General features: G+C 34.4%; 1 protein-coding gene and 1 long non-coding RNA gene across 8 annotated transcripts in view; one reads left to right on the top strand and one right to left on the bottom strand.

Annotated features, from left to right (window-relative positions):
• The window catches only part of SPINK5 (serine peptidase inhibitor Kazal type 5), a 73,403-nt gene that overhangs the window by 18,217 nt on the left and 36,192 nt on the right, over positions 1–18,994 (top strand). For 5 of the 6 annotated variants that reach the window (NM_001127698.2, NM_006846.4, XM_047416662.1 and 2 more), the window contains 9 exons: positions 4,209–4,336; positions 6,346–6,409; positions 7,298–7,425; positions 8,969–9,032; positions 12,158–12,285; positions 13,622–13,709; positions 15,671–15,798; positions 17,038–17,119; positions 18,258–18,385. In NM_001127698.2, the coding sequence (NP_001121170.1) occupies positions 4,209–4,336; positions 6,346–6,409; positions 7,298–7,425; positions 8,969–9,032; positions 12,158–12,285; positions 13,622–13,709; positions 15,671–15,798; positions 17,038–17,119; positions 18,258–18,385 (938 nt within the window). Of the gene's footprint in view, positions 1–4,208; positions 4,337–6,345; positions 6,410–7,297; positions 7,426–8,704; positions 8,850–8,968; positions 9,033–12,157; positions 12,286–13,621; positions 13,710–15,670; positions 15,799–17,037; positions 17,120–18,257; positions 18,386–18,994 lie in introns of those variants that run through there. The other variant, XM_047416663.1, reaches the window with a different exon arrangement.
• Positions 1,735–11,728, bottom strand: LOC124901185 (uncharacterized). 2 transcript variants are annotated; one of them, XR_007059139.1, is made up of 3 exons: positions 11,386–11,546; positions 7,158–7,607; positions 1,735–2,245 (listed from the first exon to the last, which is right to left on the bottom strand). It is a non-coding gene; the product is annotated as an uncharacterized LOC124901185 (long non-coding RNA). The 2 variants fall into 2 exon arrangements; XR_007059138.1 differs by lacking the exon at positions 1,735–2,245 and having other exon boundaries at positions 5,968–7,607; positions 11,386–11,728.

An 18,994-nucleotide genomic window follows, 5' to 3' on the forward strand; every position in this document is an offset into this window, starting at 1 on the left:
CTGTTGTTTCTGTTTTCTATGGTGTTAATTCCTGTTTCTTTATGTTTGTTCCTGTTCATTTTACAATGGGGTTGAGGAATACTTTATTCTTTAAATTTAATTTTTAAAAAATTTATGACAAATATTTTTGAAGATATTAATAATTATACATCTCAGGATTTATACTTTAAGTATTTCTATTTATCATTATTTTCCAAACACTTCTTAATTTCTCTACCCCTAATGTTATTTAGTAATAGATTATCTAATTTTCAAATATGTGGAACTTTTAAATATTTTATATTAGCTTTTAATTTTATTAAATTTTGGTCAGAGAATATAAATGATGTAGTATTGATTATTTGTTATTTCTTAAGACTTTGTGACCTCACAAATATTCTGCTTTTATGAATGTTTTATATATTCTTTTTTTTTTTTTTTTTTTTTTTTTTTGAGACGGAGTCTCGCTGTCGCCCAGGCTGGAGTGCAGTGGCGCAATCTCGGCTCACTGCAGGCTCCGCCCCCTGGGGTTCACGCCATTCTCCTGCCTCAGCCTCCCGAGTAGCTGGGACTACAGGCGCCCGCCACCTCGCCCGGCTAATTTTTTGTATTTTTAGTAGAGACAGGGTTTCACCGTGTTAGCCAGGATGGTCTCGATCTCCTGACCTCGTGATCCGCCCGCCTCGGCCTCCCAAAGTGCTGGGATTACAGGCGTGAGCCACCGCGCCCGGCCTATATATTCTTAAAAAATGTTTATTTTCTGTTTCTTGGTTGTAGTTGTCTATAAAAATCTAATGGCTTAATATTCTTTTTTTTTTACTTAATATATAAATTTCTGAGAAGTGTTTGCTTAAATCTCTAACTCCAGTTATTGATTTATTTAAGTCTATTACATTCTGTTTGTTATTGTTTGACATATTTAAAGTCTATATTATTAGGTGAATATATGCTCATGATTGTTATACTTTCTTGTTCTTGTTCTTGTCATTTTTTACTTCATATATTGTCCTTCTTTGTCACTTATGATACATTTTTGGACTCAATTCTAATTTTTAAGTGTTAATATTGCTGCATATGCTCTCTTCCTCTTCATTTTTGTCTTGTATATTTTTATTATCTTACTGGTTTGATATTTGCATGCCTTTTCATTTTAATTTTTCTCAATACATGGGTTCTTTTTTAAACATCAAATTACCAATTGTCTCTTAATTTGTAGGTTTAGCACATTTATATTTATTGTTATTTCTGTTATAGTGAGACTTGGTTCTTTCATTTTTAAAATATTTTCGGTTACTATATTTAGTAGTTTCTTCTTTCTAGCTTTTTTTGGGTGGTGATTTATTTTTGTTCTTATTATGACTATCCCTAAACAAATAGCCATACTTTTGATTATTTATTCTATTGCTAATATCTGTGTCTATTGTCAATTTCTTTGTCTTCTCTCCAAATGTATGTTAATCCACTCTCCATATATTTTCTGTAAATATAATTTTGTTATTAACTTGATTTTAGCTTAAAATTCTTATTGCTTTTCTCTTTTATTCTTTTTTTGTTAATTATAGAAATTGTTCCTTTCTTCAGATATTTCTTTCTATATTTATTTCCTTCTTTTGGAGACTTCTAATTCTATTTTAAATGTTCTTTAGCTTTTCCTTTTTTAGAAAAATTGTTTCTTATTTCCATTGCCTTCTAGGAGAATTCCTTGATCTGATCATCTGGTTCACAAGTTCATTATTTATTTGTACCTATCCCATCTTTATTCTTTATATTGCTAGATTTATTATCATTTGAATATTTTCCATATACAAAATTTCCACTTTGTTCTTCCTTTATAACTTCTTTCTTGTTATTGTTTTACATTTGTTTATGCAGATATCTTCTCTTATCTCTCCATAACATAATTAGACTTGATAAAATATTTTTCTACCCATTCCAATATTTCTACTTCAATTAATACATGTTGTTTAGTATATTCTATTTTTTACTTGTCAGATATACAGATATTCTTATTGTAATATTCCATAATGGCTGTATTTATTTTTTCTGCTAAATTCAGTTAGGTAGTGTTCAATGTCAAGCTTCAGTCTGTAGCCCTTCTGGTGAGTATAAGGATAGAAAAAGAGATAAGACCCAGTGCTGGAGGTTCTGAATCCCCTCTTTTCCACTCCAGCTTGCTGCCACTTCACCAGGTCAGGAATCTATCTGTAAGGTCTCAGGCATTGTCAACATTAGGAAGAGGTGTTTTCTGTAGGTTGTGATCCACCACCTAGGGGTTTGGAGGGGAAGGAGATGGAGTCATATATCCTTGCGCCTGTTTTCATCATCCCCCAGCTGGCCTTTTGACTTGCTCTGTCATTCCCCTCTCTACACCTGTGACCTAGTTAGTACGTTGCTGTTGATTTTCTGGGGAAGGGGGATAGTAGTGATTGTTTTGAGTTAATTACTTTGATCTGTAATTTCCCTATGCTTCTGTAGTATCTTCAGGAATGATTTTTGAGAGAAAACCAAGAGCCATCCTGCTTTTTCTTTATGCTTCGGTCACATTTCCCTTCTTTCTGTCCATTCCTTAAAAAGGACAGTCTAGTTTCCACCACAAATCCTTTGCAATTGCCGTTCTCTATGCCCAGAATGTTCTTCCCTCAAATGTTTTTGCCACTATATCTAAAATAGTCCCCATTCTGGTCACTATTGTATTTTTCTGTTTATTTGTGAGAGCACTTACTATAATTTATAGTTGTTGTGCATATCTGTCTCTTTCTATCAGAATGTAAGCTCCTTAGAATATGTATTCCATTTTTTTCTCTCTCTCTCTTTTTTATTTTATATTTTCTGTGGCAGCTTCACAGTCCAGAAGAGTGCTAAAATGTAGTTAATATGTAATAAATTTTGTGGAATAAATGAACAAATGAATGAATGAAATAACTTATATGGCCACTGCTTATCTTATTTTCAATGTATTTTTAACTTCTTTCTAAACATATGAATAGTGGAGTATGTTCTTTAGCTTTTCTTTTCTATTTTCAGTTCTTTTCCTTCTAGATAAGAGTTTCTCAACCTGATCTTCTGTATCCTACTTTTATTCTTTATATTATGTGACATACTGATACATCATAGGTCTACATTCTAAGTGTTTCATATTTATCATTAAAATGTCTTTATTTTGACAATGATAACATGAAGTTGTATTTTGCAATGTGATATTCTAAAGAAAAATTATCCAGTTTTATTATTTGGTTTTAGGTAAAAGTTAAAGTCAAGTTAACTCTATATCTTTTTTAGCTAGGTTATGTCACAATAATAAGTTGCCAAATAATGTTTCATAAGAATTCACTTGATCCTTATTGCAAATCTGGAATGTAGGTAGGGTGTGAATTTCCATTTTTCTGATGAGGAAAGTGAGGTGCAAAGAGGTGAAGTGAGTGGGTGGCAGGTCTGAGACTTGAACACTAGTCTTCAGTTATTACTTTGTACATTTGTTTTTCTTTACCATCAGGTTTGTTCCTAAGTGTATGTCACATTATTAGAATAGAGATTTGGGCTTTCTCCTGCCGTACCTAAAAGATGTTTAGTTTACTTGGCTTGTCAGTAGAGAAAACATTGAAAATAACAACAACAACAACAATAAATGGTTCTGTGTCAGGCACTGTTCCAAGTGCTATACATGAATTAACATATGTAAATCCCTATATAGTCCTGAGAGTTTGACAAAATTATAACCATTTTGCACATGAGGACACTAAAGCATAGAGGTGTTAAATAACTTGTCCAAGTCCCATAGCTTAAGTGGCAGACTTAGAAATATGAAACAAGCAATCCTGCTCTTAATTACTATTCTAATCTATAATAATAGAAACTTTGCTGTAGTTTATAGTTTACTTAGAGCTTTCATATCCGTAATCTACTGGGCCTCACTACTACTCTGTGGAGAAGGCAGGCAGGATTGGACAGACGAACAACATGCCAAGTTTCAGAGTGGTGACGTGGCCTACTTCACCCAGACAGCAAGTGGCTGAAGTAATACTGAAATTCTTTCTTTTGAAATCTAATTTTATCTGTTCTTGGATCATGTTTTATTGCCCATAAATTTATTAGCTCAATGTAGCCTTCATGATATGTTTTTCTTCTCCAGCAATTTACATTATTGTGGGCTTAAAATGTTAATCTATTTATACATCTAAGGACTATTTTGTTTCTTACATTTTGACGTTCCTTGATCATGTCTTTTGCAGCTGAATTGTGATGATTTTAAAAAAGGAGAAAGAGATGGGGATTTTATCTGTCCTGATTATTATGAAGCTGTTTGTGGCACAGATGGGAAAACATATGACAACAGATGTGCACTGTGTGCTGAGAATGCGTGAGTATTCTCTGAAGTAGGCTTTCTCCCTAAAACGTGTTCTCTCTATAATTACATGACACAATTTTCCCTACAGTCTTTAAGCTAACGATTCATTATGTGGGAGTTAGCCATTCCTAAATTATTAGTACCACTTCTTTTACTACTCTTAAGACAAATAAAGGTGTATAGCATAACACTTTATATTTTACAAAGCACTTTTATGTATGATTTATCAGATGGTTATCACTTTATGAAGTAGACAGAATAGGGAGATTATAGATTATATGTTCATAATCTATAAAATGTTATAGATTTTATATTTAAAATGTATAATAAAATATAGCTTTAATATAATAAAACAGATTTAATATTTTAATAAAATATAGACTTATGATTTTATAATCTATAAGTTATAGATTATATGATTATCATATATAACAGATTATATAATATATTTACACACATACATACATATATACATATATATACATACACACATCTATCTTCTATCTATCCATCATCTATTATCTATTTGTTTATCTATGTGTATACCCTTTTTCACAGAGAATTATTTCATCATCAAATTATGTTTATTAAGTGCTTAATAATTTGTAATATTAGAGTAGATAATTGAGACTTTCAATATTAAATTTCTTCCCATCTCTCAACATTTACCAAATAGCTAAGGCATCTTACTGTCCTATATCTTGTCCCTGTTTTGTTCTTTCTCTACCTTCAATGCTAGATTTGGTTATCAATTGTCTTCACCAACAAGATGACATACCTGCTTGGCGGGTTCTGGCTTGTGATCTCAATCTTGAATTGTCTGGTCTTAAGGTTTTGCAAATATGAAAACCAAGGTGTGTACAGGCTAATGAGGGGTATTATAATTATTCACTTTTTGAGATCCTGCAAGCTTTAGCTCTCCTTGCAATAAATATTTTCAGCAAAATAAAACTGCATTAAAACACTCTCATCTTTTGCAGGATGGTATTTTCAGAAATTCACTTTAAAATTATGTCCTCAACTCTCACCAAGGGTCAACATAGAGAAACCGAAAACAAACGTAGATATATGAAGAACACACAGATTTTTATCAGATATATATTGTGTAGCACAAGTATGAGCATGCTATATATTTAATTCTTACTGTGTCTTATGTGGGGAATCCCATTATAAATCTTTAAATCTCTGGTCCAGGTGAAAGTTTCTCTCCCCTAATTTCTGGTATATTTCTTTGTACTATGTACTTTGTACTATGCGATGAGAATCATACTTCTCCTTGTGTTGTTTCCCTTGCAGCTCTAGCTGCTAGGAGGCTCTACAATAAAATTGAAAATTTTATTTTTATAGTGCCCCTCAGCTGATATCCTTTGAAATAACTTTTTTCTTATCACTTTTAAATATTTAGTTTTTTTCTTTATATTGTTTTTACTAAATTTTTATTGTTTTACAGATGTTATCATTGTAATCTGCTTTAACTTTTTACAAATTAGGAAATATGTCTTACATTTGCGGTTCTGTGTTTTCAGATATACTTTAAAGGTCTACGAGACTGAACAAAATTAATTATCAAGACTTTATGTACTTTCTATGAAAAATAAAATACTAGTCTTCATAACCCAAATAAAGAGTAGTATAGTGGGATGTTAGATAATACAAATTTGACTTTGTTTATTTAAAACAACAAAGTTCCTTGGGTGCTGAGTGTTATCTATTATCCAGTTACAAGCTTTACTTTTCCCCATCTTCTGATGTGGATCCCTCCTCTAAACAAAGGTTAAAAAAAGATTTCTATAAATAACATTTACAAGTCTGAATCTTTACCATCTCTTCCATGTTAACTACATTTCTTTGACTTGAAGTTATAAACAGTGACTTTTATTAGAAAAAGTAATAAAATAATACTATGTGGCAGCTGTTTTCGGGAGTAAAGGAGAATGACAATGCAATGTAGAGCAGTTAGGTTTGAATGGTGGGAAGTTCTGTGATATTAAACTGCTGTGTCTACTAACTTTTGATTCTAGGAAAACCGGGTCCCAAATTGGTGTAAAAAGTGAAGGGGAATGTAAGAGCAGTAATCCAGAGCAGGTGAGGTCAATTGTCAGCCTGATGGGAAATACTGGGAGGCTAACTTCAAATAGTAAGTAGGTGCTCTCCTCTTCCTTCTTAGGTGGGAGCCTTGGAAGGAATTAATTCTTGCTTTATGTGAAATGGAATACCCAGTACTGCCCACTAATATGAAAAAGCTAATTATAGTCTCTGAAACTGGATCAGATTACTTTGGTGGTTAGATCTTTCAATCTATTGCTGCTTTGTATAAAAAAAAAAAGAAGAAGAAGAAATAAAAAGGAAACTACATGTGTAGTAGAAAGGGCACAACACTTCAGTCACTTAGCCTGCGTTAAAACCCCAGCAGTGTCACTTGCTGTTTGGAGACCTTGGACAAATTACTTAACCTAAAATGAGATTTGAACTAAATAGATTTTTTTTCTATGATACAGTTTTGTGAGCCTGTGATGGTAGGGGAAGGGGAAGGAAGAAAGGATCTCATACATGTCACACTTGTCTTTTTCCAGGTGAATGATTTTCCTAATTTTCAAGGTCTGATGCCCTTTTTATAAGCTTCCAGAGCACCTGAGGTGACTTGCACCAAGTCATTTAGCATCATGCAATTTTAAATGTCTCTTTTTATCACCTAGGAGATTGGGAGCAAGTTGATGGCAAGGACTGTGCTCTGTCTGAGTTCTGGCACATAGTAGGTTATCTGTTTACTAAATAAATGAATAAACAAGTAAAAAAGTTTTATATTTAACCACATGAATTATAGAGTACTTACTGAGCTACATCTACACAGCTGGTACTGCTCTAAGTGGCCCATAGCAATGTCAGAGGGACTGAGTTCAATAAAATTTCTGAAAACAGTGTTGTCAGCATTACAATCTTGGTAAGTTTCAAGTTCTTTTCCCTGTTCTTCAGGATGTATGCAGTGCTTTTCGGCCCTTTGTTAGAGATGGAAGACTTGGATGCACAAGGGAAAATGATCCTGTTCTTGGTCCTGATGGGAAGACGCATGGCAATAAGTGTGCAATGTGTGCTGAGCTGTTGTAAGTAGCATCATCCCCAGGTGGACTTGATGATGATGCACTTGGTTGCTGTCCCGAGAATCACTCAGCAGAGAGATAAAATCCTTTTCATGAAGCATGCAATTCTTTGTCTTTACACTGTGAAATAGCCTTTCTCACAGAAAGGCTTCTTTTCTTTTTCTTCTTATCATTGATTGAAGTTTCTTAAAAGAAGAGAATAAGGTGGTCATGTTAGTTATTAAATTCAAGACTCTCATTTCTTTTAAATTACAGTAATTTGAAAATGTATAGTGTTTTATAAGGCACAATATTTTAAAATTTAGAAAGCACTTTCATATGGAATGATCTAGGTCAGTCGTCTGACATCCATTGCTTCATTTGGGCATATGTAGAGACCCTTCCTGAGTAATGTGAGGCTAATTAAAATAATAATAGTAATAATGCCATGTGTCTGAATCTATTTATTAGCTTAAAAAGTGGAACGCGGATCATTACAAAAGGAAGGGCTATTGGGTTAATCTTTATCTGAGTGCCTGGCAGTGCTTGGGCATTAAAGACGCAGATGTGGATAAGATCTAATTAGTCTTTCATATTCTGGCTGTTAAACAAGGTTTAGACTCTCTAATTCACGTGCCAGCAAACCTTAAATTGCTATATTTACATCACTGGAACTTTAAAATCAGGACAGAGATTTAACTGATTAGCAAACAAACGTCACACCTGCCTTTGAAAATTACAGTTAGTCCTTGTAGAATTCAAGGACATGTCCAATCAGGTTTACAAAACAGTGATGATAACTGGTTTCCAGACAGGAAATCAGCCTGATTTCCACTTTCTTATCTAGGAGACATGTTCTCTCAATGTTCAAATCTGCCCTAATTCTGTAGGGTTTTTTTTTCTTTTTATGCATTATGTGAAAAGGGGAATTTGACCTCTCTAACTCCTGGTTTCTTACTCTGTGGAACTGAGATAGCCACACCTATCTCCGGAATGAGACGCTAATCAAATGATAGATGTGAAAGGGCTTAAAGCTCAATTCAAATGTAGCTTTCATTAACAACTTAGTACTTTTACATGAAAGCAAACAAATACTTTACAAGGTATACAAAGTTATACTTAAGGGTGTGGATGGCAATGTCTCAAATGCTCAGTTTGGTTTCACCCTTGTCACAGCATTATTTTAAAGCTCTTGGTTCTGCCTGTTAAAGGGAATTTTCCTGACAATCTTCTGTTTGTCAATCAAGGTGTCACACCCATTCAGTTTTACAGAACAAAGCTTCTAATTGACTGTCAGTGAGTCAGTTTCACACCCTTTCTTACTATAGGCAAGAAAGCTAATTTACAGAAAGCAAGTTTCCCAGATAAGCTATTGCCGTCTTTCTTTCTTTCCTTATCTTTGGCAATTTCTCTGGCTCAGGCATTGAAGACGGAAATGCTTGTCTCTTGTAAGAGGATCATTTTCAGCAATTCGTAGCAGAGGATATGAAAGTGTTTAGCACAGGACTGAGGATACTGAAAATATGATTGAGTCATAAACTGACCAACTGTTTACTTTTCTTAACAGTTTAAAAGAAGCTGAAAATGCCAAGCGAGAGGGTGAAACTAGAATTCGACGAAATGCTGAAAAGGTAAAATGACTCACCAACGCAATTTTGTTCTTGTGGCCATATTTATTAACAAATGTATGCCTAAACCTTTGAGTAATGAAATAAAGTCATTGTCTTTTATTATTATATAGATATTTTTCTTAATATCAAAATTCCCCAAATTGACTATTCCTAGAATATTAATCATTAGATTCAGATTTAAAACAGCATTTCCTACCTAAGGCCCAAAATGTGCAGTTTCCACCTGTGTTTCTCCAGTCCTCTAGCCCCCAAAAGAAGATATAAGATAGAAAGTTTGTATAAACCAAATTCTGCTTAATTTCTAGCAGCCTTCTTTTTGGTTTAGTGTAAACCCATTTTACTCTGTATAAATTGTTTAAAATTGGCAATGAAATATAAATTAAACAGGAATAATTTTAAAATAGTGAGAGTGTTTTAAACACTATATCCACTAGTGCATTTTATGTGCAATTAAATTGACACAAGTTGAAGTTATTCACTTTGCCATTGTGATTATTCTGTTCAGAAAAACCTGCATTTATAAAGGTCTTGATTCTGCTTTAAAAAAAAAAAAAGACAAATTTTTAGAATGTGTTTTAAAAAAATCCTTAAAATTATTTTTTTGAAATTACTTGATAATTTAATTATTCAATCTAGTATAAAAAGTTTTGAATAAGCACTTTAGGTAATGCAGCCTGGATTTCTTAAATCACCTACTTTCAATGAGAGGGATAGCAGTTTCTTTGCTAAATGGCTAACCTTTTGTTGAGAAGTCAGAACGCCTGAGTTTTAGCCTTGGTTTTGCCATGCTCTGGGTGTGGGAGACTAAGTAAATAATCATCCTGGGCCTTAATTTTCTTGTCAGCAAAGTAAAGAGGTTGGATAATGACCTGAATTTTACCTTCCTGTTGGACTGTGATTCTACATCCTGCACACTTTTGTACTAATACAAGTGCACTCCTTTTTGCAGATCGTAGGGCTTATGTTTTCCTAAAGGAAGAAACAAGCCCACCTTTTGGTAGTCAAGAGCTAGCCCTTCAGTTCGTAATGCTTATTTAATGAAGCAAAGCTCTCAACCTAAATAGGGTATTGAAGGTTTACATTTAGGAAAACTAAGTATTCAGAACCATCTACAGTTTATGCAACACTTGCCAAGGATTGAAAAGGAATTCTTTTGTGGTGGTTGTTAAATTTCAGTCTAAAACTTTGGGTCATCCTGTGATAGTTAACATTTTATTACTTCATAAACACAGAGAGTTATTTTCCTTTGTTTTTCATTAGGTCTCTGTACTTCCCTCTTCCTCTCTGTGGCTAGGGTCATTGTTTTGGTGGGGTCACCGGGCATGATGGTGTGAATAGGACTGCTTTATTGTGATGGCTCAATATGTTCCCTATAATTAACTTGTCACTAGGTTGCAAACACAGTGTTTCTTCAGAATCTCCTTGGCTGAATCACAACTTATAAACTGAAATTATCATTGTTTCTTTTACGAGAATCATTGAGCATTAATTTTTTATACCATGCTATGATTATCAGGTGACTGTCTTCTGCTTCTCTATTTCTAGGTTGTTACAACCATGAGGTTTGGAGCACATCCATTGCTCCTCCAAAAATAAATATCTTCTTAATAGGAAGCAGTTAGGATTCTCTGTTAAAGCATCCCAATGGAATTTGAATTATTTTTTAAAAAACCAAAGAATGCTAGATCTAGAAAAGGTCCTACAGAGCATCTGTTCCAAAAACCTCATTGTAGAAGTAGTAACTGTGGTTCCAAAGGAGAAGGGACTTTGCTGTGGTCTCCCATTTGGGTGAGAGGGACAATCTAGTGGCCCAGGTCATTTGACTCCTAGCCATGCTCTTTATGCCCATGTTTTCTTGCCTGAAATTGAATGACGAAGGTCACACAGTTGAAAAGAAAGTTATAGACCAGGATTTTTTGTAGGTCATATTATAGTACTATATCTCACCACAAAATGTTTAATGACATAGAGATCCCCAAGCCTAGAGTAGCTTAGAGTATCATTTTTTTGGTAAAGTTTAGCCCTCCTCACATAGTAGAGTTTTCAAAACACAGAAAGTAGCCTGAAAGTATTGAACCAAAGCATCAGGAAATCTGAAAACAAATCTTTCTTGGATTTTTTTTGGTGGGGGGAAGTCACTCCTTTTTAGCTTTTCTAAATGAGTATCAGTCTTGATGATCTATCTGTCTAAGGTGAGGGTGAAAGGAAATTAGATCTACTCTCTCTCTACAATGTCAGAAATTATTATGGATAAAGAAGGCAGAATACACAAAAATTATCCACAGATCCATAGAGAAAATCAACTAAAGTAAGCATAACACTGTTGGATAACATCTTGTTTCTTTATACTTACAAACTTAGCTGGATTATTCTTGACTTGATCCATATTAAGTCACTTTTAGACATCTCATCTTCTCACAACTTTTTTTTCTTTTTTTTTTTGTGATTTGGCTGCTGCATTTTGTTGTGTTTGTGCTGGAACCTCATGAAAGATATCCCCTGACCCCTATTGATCTGAAAGTTAAAAAGAAATACCTAGTTTTAATCCAAGAAAACTCTTGGTCAGCCTTATTTTTTCCGAGGCTGTTTTTTATCTTTTAATAAACCTACCACATAACAGATACAAGTGCCAAGTAGTTGACAATATAATTACTGTTTCTTAGTAATCCTCATTAATATGTTGTATGTATTTGCCAACTTCTAGACCTGATGTTTTGTGGTAATAAATCTATTATAAAGTTTCCAGATTAAAACGTAGAAAAATGGTAAATAAAATTACTTGTTGGCTGGATGTGTTGGTTCATGCCTATAATTTCAACACTTTGGGAGGCCAAGGCAGGAAGATTACTTGAGCCAAGGAATTCAAGACCAGCCCGGGCAACATGATGAGATCCAGTCTCTACCAAAAAGGAAAAAATTTAGCCGGGTGTGGTGGTGCATGTCTGTAGTCCCATTTAGTTAGGAAGCTGAGGTGGAAGGATCTCTGAGCCTAGAGGTTAGAGGCTTCACTGAGCTATGATCATTCCCCTGCAATCCACCCTGCGCAATGCAGCAAAATCCTGTCTCAAAAAATAAAATATCCTGAAATGAAATGAAGTAAAATAAATATAATTGTCTTTTCAAAGGATTTTTGCAAGGAATATGAAAAACAAGTGAGAAATGGAAGGCTTTTTTGTACACGGGAGAGTGATCCAGTCCGTGGCCCTGACGGCAGGATGCATGGCAACAAATGTGCCCTGTGTGCTGAAATTTTGTGAGTATAGAAGTGGTTTTTTCAGAGTGATTCAAAGGGTGGGAGTGGAGATTGATTGGATTGATGAGTAAAAATAACTTTGAAAGGAAGCTTTGTTGTTGAGAACCATCTGAGCAGTTTTATGCCCTCCACAAATCATAATGCCACCTAGTGAGCAGGCACTACTGATGTTTGTCTATTTCTGAAGAGAAATGGATTCCATTTTCCAGTTGAAATATTGACTTACAGCATAGCACACTTCTTAACATTCCCCTGTGACTGTGACCTATGTGAAACTGTTTGTGAACTAATTCTAGTATAGAATGGGGGTAAAAGCAGGTACCACGACTTCGATTGTTTTTCTTCAGTAATTATCCCATGGTAACAGTGTTGATGCAACACTCTCAGATACTTCAGGTTTATACATTAATTGGATTACTCTTATCTTTTTATCTGGGACATATGACCTTGGGAGAAGGGCAAATCTCACAACATACAAATTATCACATTTATGAAAATGTCTTAGATGACATCTCATGACACTTTCGGCTTCTCTAGCTCTACAAGCCCTTTCCTGTGTCCTGTCCTATGCCAGTTCCTCCCGGTCTTGGCCAGATGATGTCCCCTCCTCTTGTAGATTACATTTCAGATTATCTTTCCTTGGACAAGAACTCCTAAAGTCCTTCCCTAATTGAAATTAAATTCTCATAATCCTTAGTAATTGTCTTTTCTAACCACCATCACAGTTGGCAATTATACAATTATTTCTCCAAGTTTTTGTTGACTTTCAGTCTTTTCTACCAGCCTCAAGAACTACAAGAGGGCAGGGTATGTGTTTGTATTATATACTCCTGCATGCCCAGGGCCCAGCCAACACTTGCCCAAAAAACCATAATTACTCACTAAATGAATGAATGAAGATATGAATGAAGATCTCCCACTCTCAAGAAGCTTAAGTTCAGTAGCAGAAATAAGCCATGGACATGTGCACATATTTATATATTGCAAAATAGAATAAAAACTGCTGTATAAGAGAAGACTATTCGATACAAAAACACAGCAATAGACATAGCGCTCATTTGTATTTGGGAACTGGAATGTCTTCTTCAAAAAGGTAGAATTTAAGCTGCAGAGTTTTAAATTTCTTTTAAGAAAGGGAGATGAGAAAAAAGATCATTTTAGTGGAAGTAAATGGTATAAAGGTGAAATTAAAGGGTCTTTTTGGGGATTTGAGGTGTTTTTAAAGTGTTTGTACTAAAACTCAGGACAACTTAGATATTTTTCCATCTATACCTAATGACTGTTTTGTAACATGAAGATCGGAAGCATCTCTACTCATTTATTTTACTTTTTCCAGCAAGCAGCGTTTTTCAGAGGAAAACAGTAAAACAGATCAAAATTTGGGAAAAGCTGAAGAAAAAACTAAAGTTAAAAGAGAAATTGTGGTGAGAATCAGTTTGATCAATCTAGTTACAACTTGTGTGTGTGTGGGGGGGTGCGTGTGTGAGAGAGTGCATATTACATAGTATGCACTTTCAATATTGTTTAATATTTTCCACACTACTAGTAGGTTTGCTGGAAACTAATTTCTAGTTATTATTTTGTGAAACTTAGATTAAAAAATTATGGCATTACAATTTCTAGCTGTATATGGAGGCAATTAATCAAGTCACATTAATAATGTAGTTTTGCACTCCTAAATGAAGGTGAAATATCAAAACATTGTCTGAATTCAAAGTGTGATATGTAGTCTTCGATGTGTGGTAGCTATTGTGAAGGTATTTACTTCAAAAACAATATCAATGTTGAATTTTAATGTGCTTCCTTTTAAATTATACTGTTCTCTGCTTTCTAAGTATCTTTTAACTAGTCACCTGTCTGTTTTTCTACTGCTACCCTCTTAGCTCAGACACTTAATAGTTTTCTTTTGCATTGACGTATTGGCATTGTACCTGGTTTGTACACTGTTGGTCTCCATCTTTCTCAATCTTCAAGATTTAATTCATCCTCCATGTTGTTTTCATATGTCATAGAATATGAGAACAAAAACTATGGTTCCACGAGTCAGCGATGCTATAAAATTCCAATGTTTGAAGATATTCTAGAGTATATTCAGACCATTTCACTTCTTATAGAAACCCTAACTTATTTCTTACAGACAGTTTTCCAGACTTCTATGATGTGCAGTCAACAGTTCTCCTAAGTAAGCCACTCCATCAGGCCACCCTCTGCCAGTATAACTCCATTTTCTTTCTTTCTTTCTTTTTTTCTTTTTCTTTTTCTTTTCTTTTCTTTTTTTTTTTAAGACAATTTCTTTCTTTCTTTTTTTTCTCTGTCACCCAGGCTGGAGTGTAGTGGTGGGATCATGGCTCACTGCAGCCTTGACTTCCCACTCTCAAGCTATCCTCACACCTCAGCTTTCCAAAGTGCTAAGATTACAGGCATGAGCCACTACACATAGCTTAAGCCTCATTTTGAACTGCTTTCTTCCCCTCAGTCCTAGGTTACCAAGTCCTTTTAATTTTGATATTCAAATATCTGTCAACTACTATTTTATCATTTATTTCCAATTTTTCTCCTTCCTTCCCTTTCTTCCTTTCCTTTCTCCTTTTTCTTTTTCTTCTCTCTATTCTTTTTTCTCTTTTCCTCCCTCTCTTTCTCTCTTTTTTAATAATATAATTACTGTTCTAACTTCAGTCCCTAGTTAATCAAATCCTCCACACATCTGGTTGATAACCTTTGTAAAACAAAGATTTGATTTTGCCATTTTCTGCTATAAACATTTATAATTTTCCCATTGCCTAAAAGTAATATCCAAATTCCTTTCAAAGTTTAGTGGTCTTTGATTTTCAAGGTCTCCTTTTGACCATTTCCCAAATATTATTCTCTTTATCCAACTAATTATTTAGCCACTATATTCATAAATATGTTAGATTACCTCAAAATAGCATGTTCTTTCACACCCCTGTGTGTTTGTCCATTTAATTCCTCTTGGATGGCCTTTTTCCACATTATGTTCCTGAATATATTCTCAAGATAGAACTTAGACATAAGTTCCCTGAACTTCCATGAATTATTCTTTTCATTGTACTTGTACACACTTAATTCAGACTAGTGTTATATTTCTTAGCTTTTTATATTGCAATTACTTATCTTTTCCATTTGACTGATAAAGAACATAAATATAAATAAATCATATTTCTATTTATATATTCCTAACTTAAGCATTCGTTGAAAATGTAAATGGATATTACAAGGAGAGAAATATCACAATTTTTGGATGGTCCTAAATCTTAAAAGTTTTATTTTTCATCCTTAATTTCTCTTTTTTCTTTGTAAAATAACATTTAACATTCATACATAGAAAACAGAACTATATCTCAACTTTTTCTTATTCATTATTCAGAAACTCTGCAGTCAATATCAAAATCAGGCAAAGAATGGAATACTTTTCTGTACCAGAGAAAATGACCCTATTCGTGGTCCAGATGGGAAAATGCATGGCAACTTGTGTTCCATGTGTCAAGCCTACTTGTGAGTATAGAGTTTTAGAATGTCAAAGAAAGAAGGGATCTTGCAGGTAATTTAATAGAAACAGCTTCTTTCATAGATGGGGAGACTGTGGCTCAAGACAGGGAAGTGAGTTGAAAACATTACATGGAAAATATCAGTGATAGAGCTGGGAGTAAGTACCTAGAGTTATTTGTTTTAAGACGCCTTGTTCCTCTGACACTCCCTCTTTTAGCACTGGAATGTCCTGACAAACATGAACTTGTACAAATAGTAGATGCCCCCTTACTCCTGAAACTTCACACGTTAGCCTGTTTTAGCAATTTATAGGTATCTCATCTTCCATGGGAGTTAAGAGTCCAAAGGTGATGCTTAATGTAGAAATGGAATAAAGTCAAAATTCCCATGAAACAACACTAAACTCCTATAAAATTACAATGGGTATTATTTTATGTAATGCAATATTTCTCAATAAGTTAGAATGGACAGTTTTCTTTCAAGATTTACGATAGCTCTTTATTTGGCTGAGCTCAAATTAAGTATTTAACTTATATTTAGAATCTATGGCTTTCTTTGTTTTGATTGACAACTACATATGGTTGAAATATCATCAGTTAACTGTACATACTGTGCAATTCCATTGTACAAAGCAAATTTAGGCTTATTTGTTTTATCAGTATATGGAAATTATTGTGGTTTTTTTTTTCACATCTTGTCCTTTAGATGAAACAGCTATGAGTAAGCAAAATATTTAAGTTTAAAGCAAAGCTAGGGTACACATGGTGTGATAGATAGACCATGGTCTTGAGGGAGGAGACCTTGGTTGTAGTCATATCCTGAGATGTAGCAAAGACCCCCTCTACCTCTCATCTTCTCTGATTAACAAGGGGATGAGTAGATGTGCTTTGTTAAGGCCACTTTCAGCCTTCAGGTTATGCCACCATGATTTTAGTTTTGGTGCCTCTGTTATGAACATTGATCATGCTCCTTTTCTTACTATGGGCAAGAAAACTAATTTACAGAAAGCAAGTATCCCAGATCCACTATTGCCGTCTTTCTTTCAACATTAAACAGACATTATGAAGAAATCATAGCACCATACTATCCTGGAGGATATTTTGTTGCTTCTCATTGATATGCAGTGATAAAGGGACAAAATTGTTCCACTCTAAGGAGGGAGAACAGTTAACAGTGCAAGGATGTGGAGAAATCATGGCATGTGTTTGTTCCTAATGGATCTGCTTCTTTTTCCCTCTTATTCAGCCAAGCAGAAAATGAAGAAAAGAAAAAGGCTGAAGCACGAGCTAGAAACAAAAGAGAATCTGGAAAAGCAACCTCATATGCAGTGAGTGGAATCCATCCAATAAATCCTATTTGGTGCTATAATTTGAACAAATTTTAAGAGCCTAAAGGGTGAGATTTTGCCCTGCAGAAATCCCCAGAATATCTTAACTCTTCAATCTGGGGATGGTATTGAGATGAATTATATGGGAAGATTGATCCATTCTTGCTGATTAAAAACTAACTCTGCAAAAAAAAAAAAAAAAAATTGTTTAAAAGCTGAAAAACTGAGTTCTACTTCTAGTTTTATCACTTATAGACTGTTAGCTTTTGCTAACTACTTTCCAGAGAAATTCTACATGTATGCTTTCTACATATGAGTTTCTGATATTTCACATCTAATTTGAGATAAAAAATACCTTGATTCCCCCACCAACGCATGATTTTTATCCCTGAAATATTACAATATTAGTTTCCAAAGCCTTAGCTCAGTTATCATCACCAATGGTTTTGATGATAAAAGTCTCCTAATTTTCACTCTGGATTTTATCCTTTCCCTTGCCCAACCAGTCTCCCTAACATAGTTGGAGTAATGTTTCAAAATGTAAATAAGATCATAATATTGCTCTTAAAACCCACAAGCAGCTCATCATCATATACAGGATATGCTTTAATCCTGTTATCTCTCCTCTTATTTGTATCCTTATCTCCATTCAGAAAATCATGCTCTGCTATGTGCCATGTCTTTTCCTACCTGTGTTTTTCAGCTAGTTTTATTTTCATAAACCTGTGTGCGTATTTCCCAATTCACTTTTTTTTGCCCAGTCAAATCCTATTTACACTTCCACAGTCTCACCTAAATTGTTCTTGCTCCCTGACACCTTCCCTGGTTTCCTTTGAGTTCTCAGATTTTATTGTACCCTGTATGTTCGTACCTATTTTATTCTGTTTAGATTATAGTGGAATTTGCTTATATATTGCTTGTATTATATGGGGACATTGTGCTATGTTTTATTTTTTCCTATCTCTTGGCATATGATGTTTTTCTTGTTGTCAAATTGAATTTTACATTTGAGAAAAACACAATTAAAATCCTCAGCTCAAAGAGATGTAACATTAGTTTCTGCCAATGTAGATGTTTGAACCTTCTGCTTTAAGTAGAAATGAAATATATGGCCAACTTACTTCTTCTATCTCGGCAGGAGCTTTGCAGTGAATATCGAAAGCTTGTGAGGAACGGAAAACTTGCTTGCACCAGAGAGAACGATCCTATCCAGGGCCCAGATGGGAAAGTGCATGGCAACACCTGCTCCATGTGTGAGGTCTTCTTGTGAGTAGCCCTGCAGCTGGGAACATGGAGGAATGATTTTGTTCTTTCTATTTCATTTCCATGTTCAATTATGGGAGGGCCACTTCAACATAAAAATGAAAGAATTAAGGCATATTTAGAGAAACTGTCTGATTGGAGACATGTATTTGAAAATCCATGTCCTTTGAAGATTGTCAAGACTTCACACTTAAGCAAGGAGAAAGTCATAATCTTGAAATATTCAAGTAGTTTTGTCTTTTAAGTGTGGAAACAGGACAAGTTCTAGCTTATCTCCGTGAATAAAAGTGAGGCCAGTGGGCCAAAGAATGAAAGGTCTGGAAGACAGGTTCCAAGTGGATGCCAGGAAGAACTTCCTAACAGTTTGCGGATTTCAAAGATGGATGATTTACCATGGAATTCCAAGGATGATATCAGTACAGACTTTACAGGCAGATTAAAGCAAAGGCTTGGGAGTCATTAGAGATACAGTAATGAGCATTGGAAATTTAGAAAACCACCTCTGGACTAGGGTTTAAATCCCAAGTCTGTACTTATTATTTCTATATCTTCAGGTGAGTTATGCATTCCGTCTGTCAGTTTATTTGTATGTTGGGGTTATAATAATAGTTT

The sequence above is a fragment of the Homo sapiens genome, chromosome 5 (assembly GCF_000001405.40).
Source record: "Homo sapiens chromosome 5, GRCh38.p14 Primary Assembly".
In the NCBI taxonomy this organism is placed as follows: domain Eukaryota; kingdom Metazoa; phylum Chordata; class Mammalia; order Primates; family Hominidae; genus Homo; species Homo sapiens.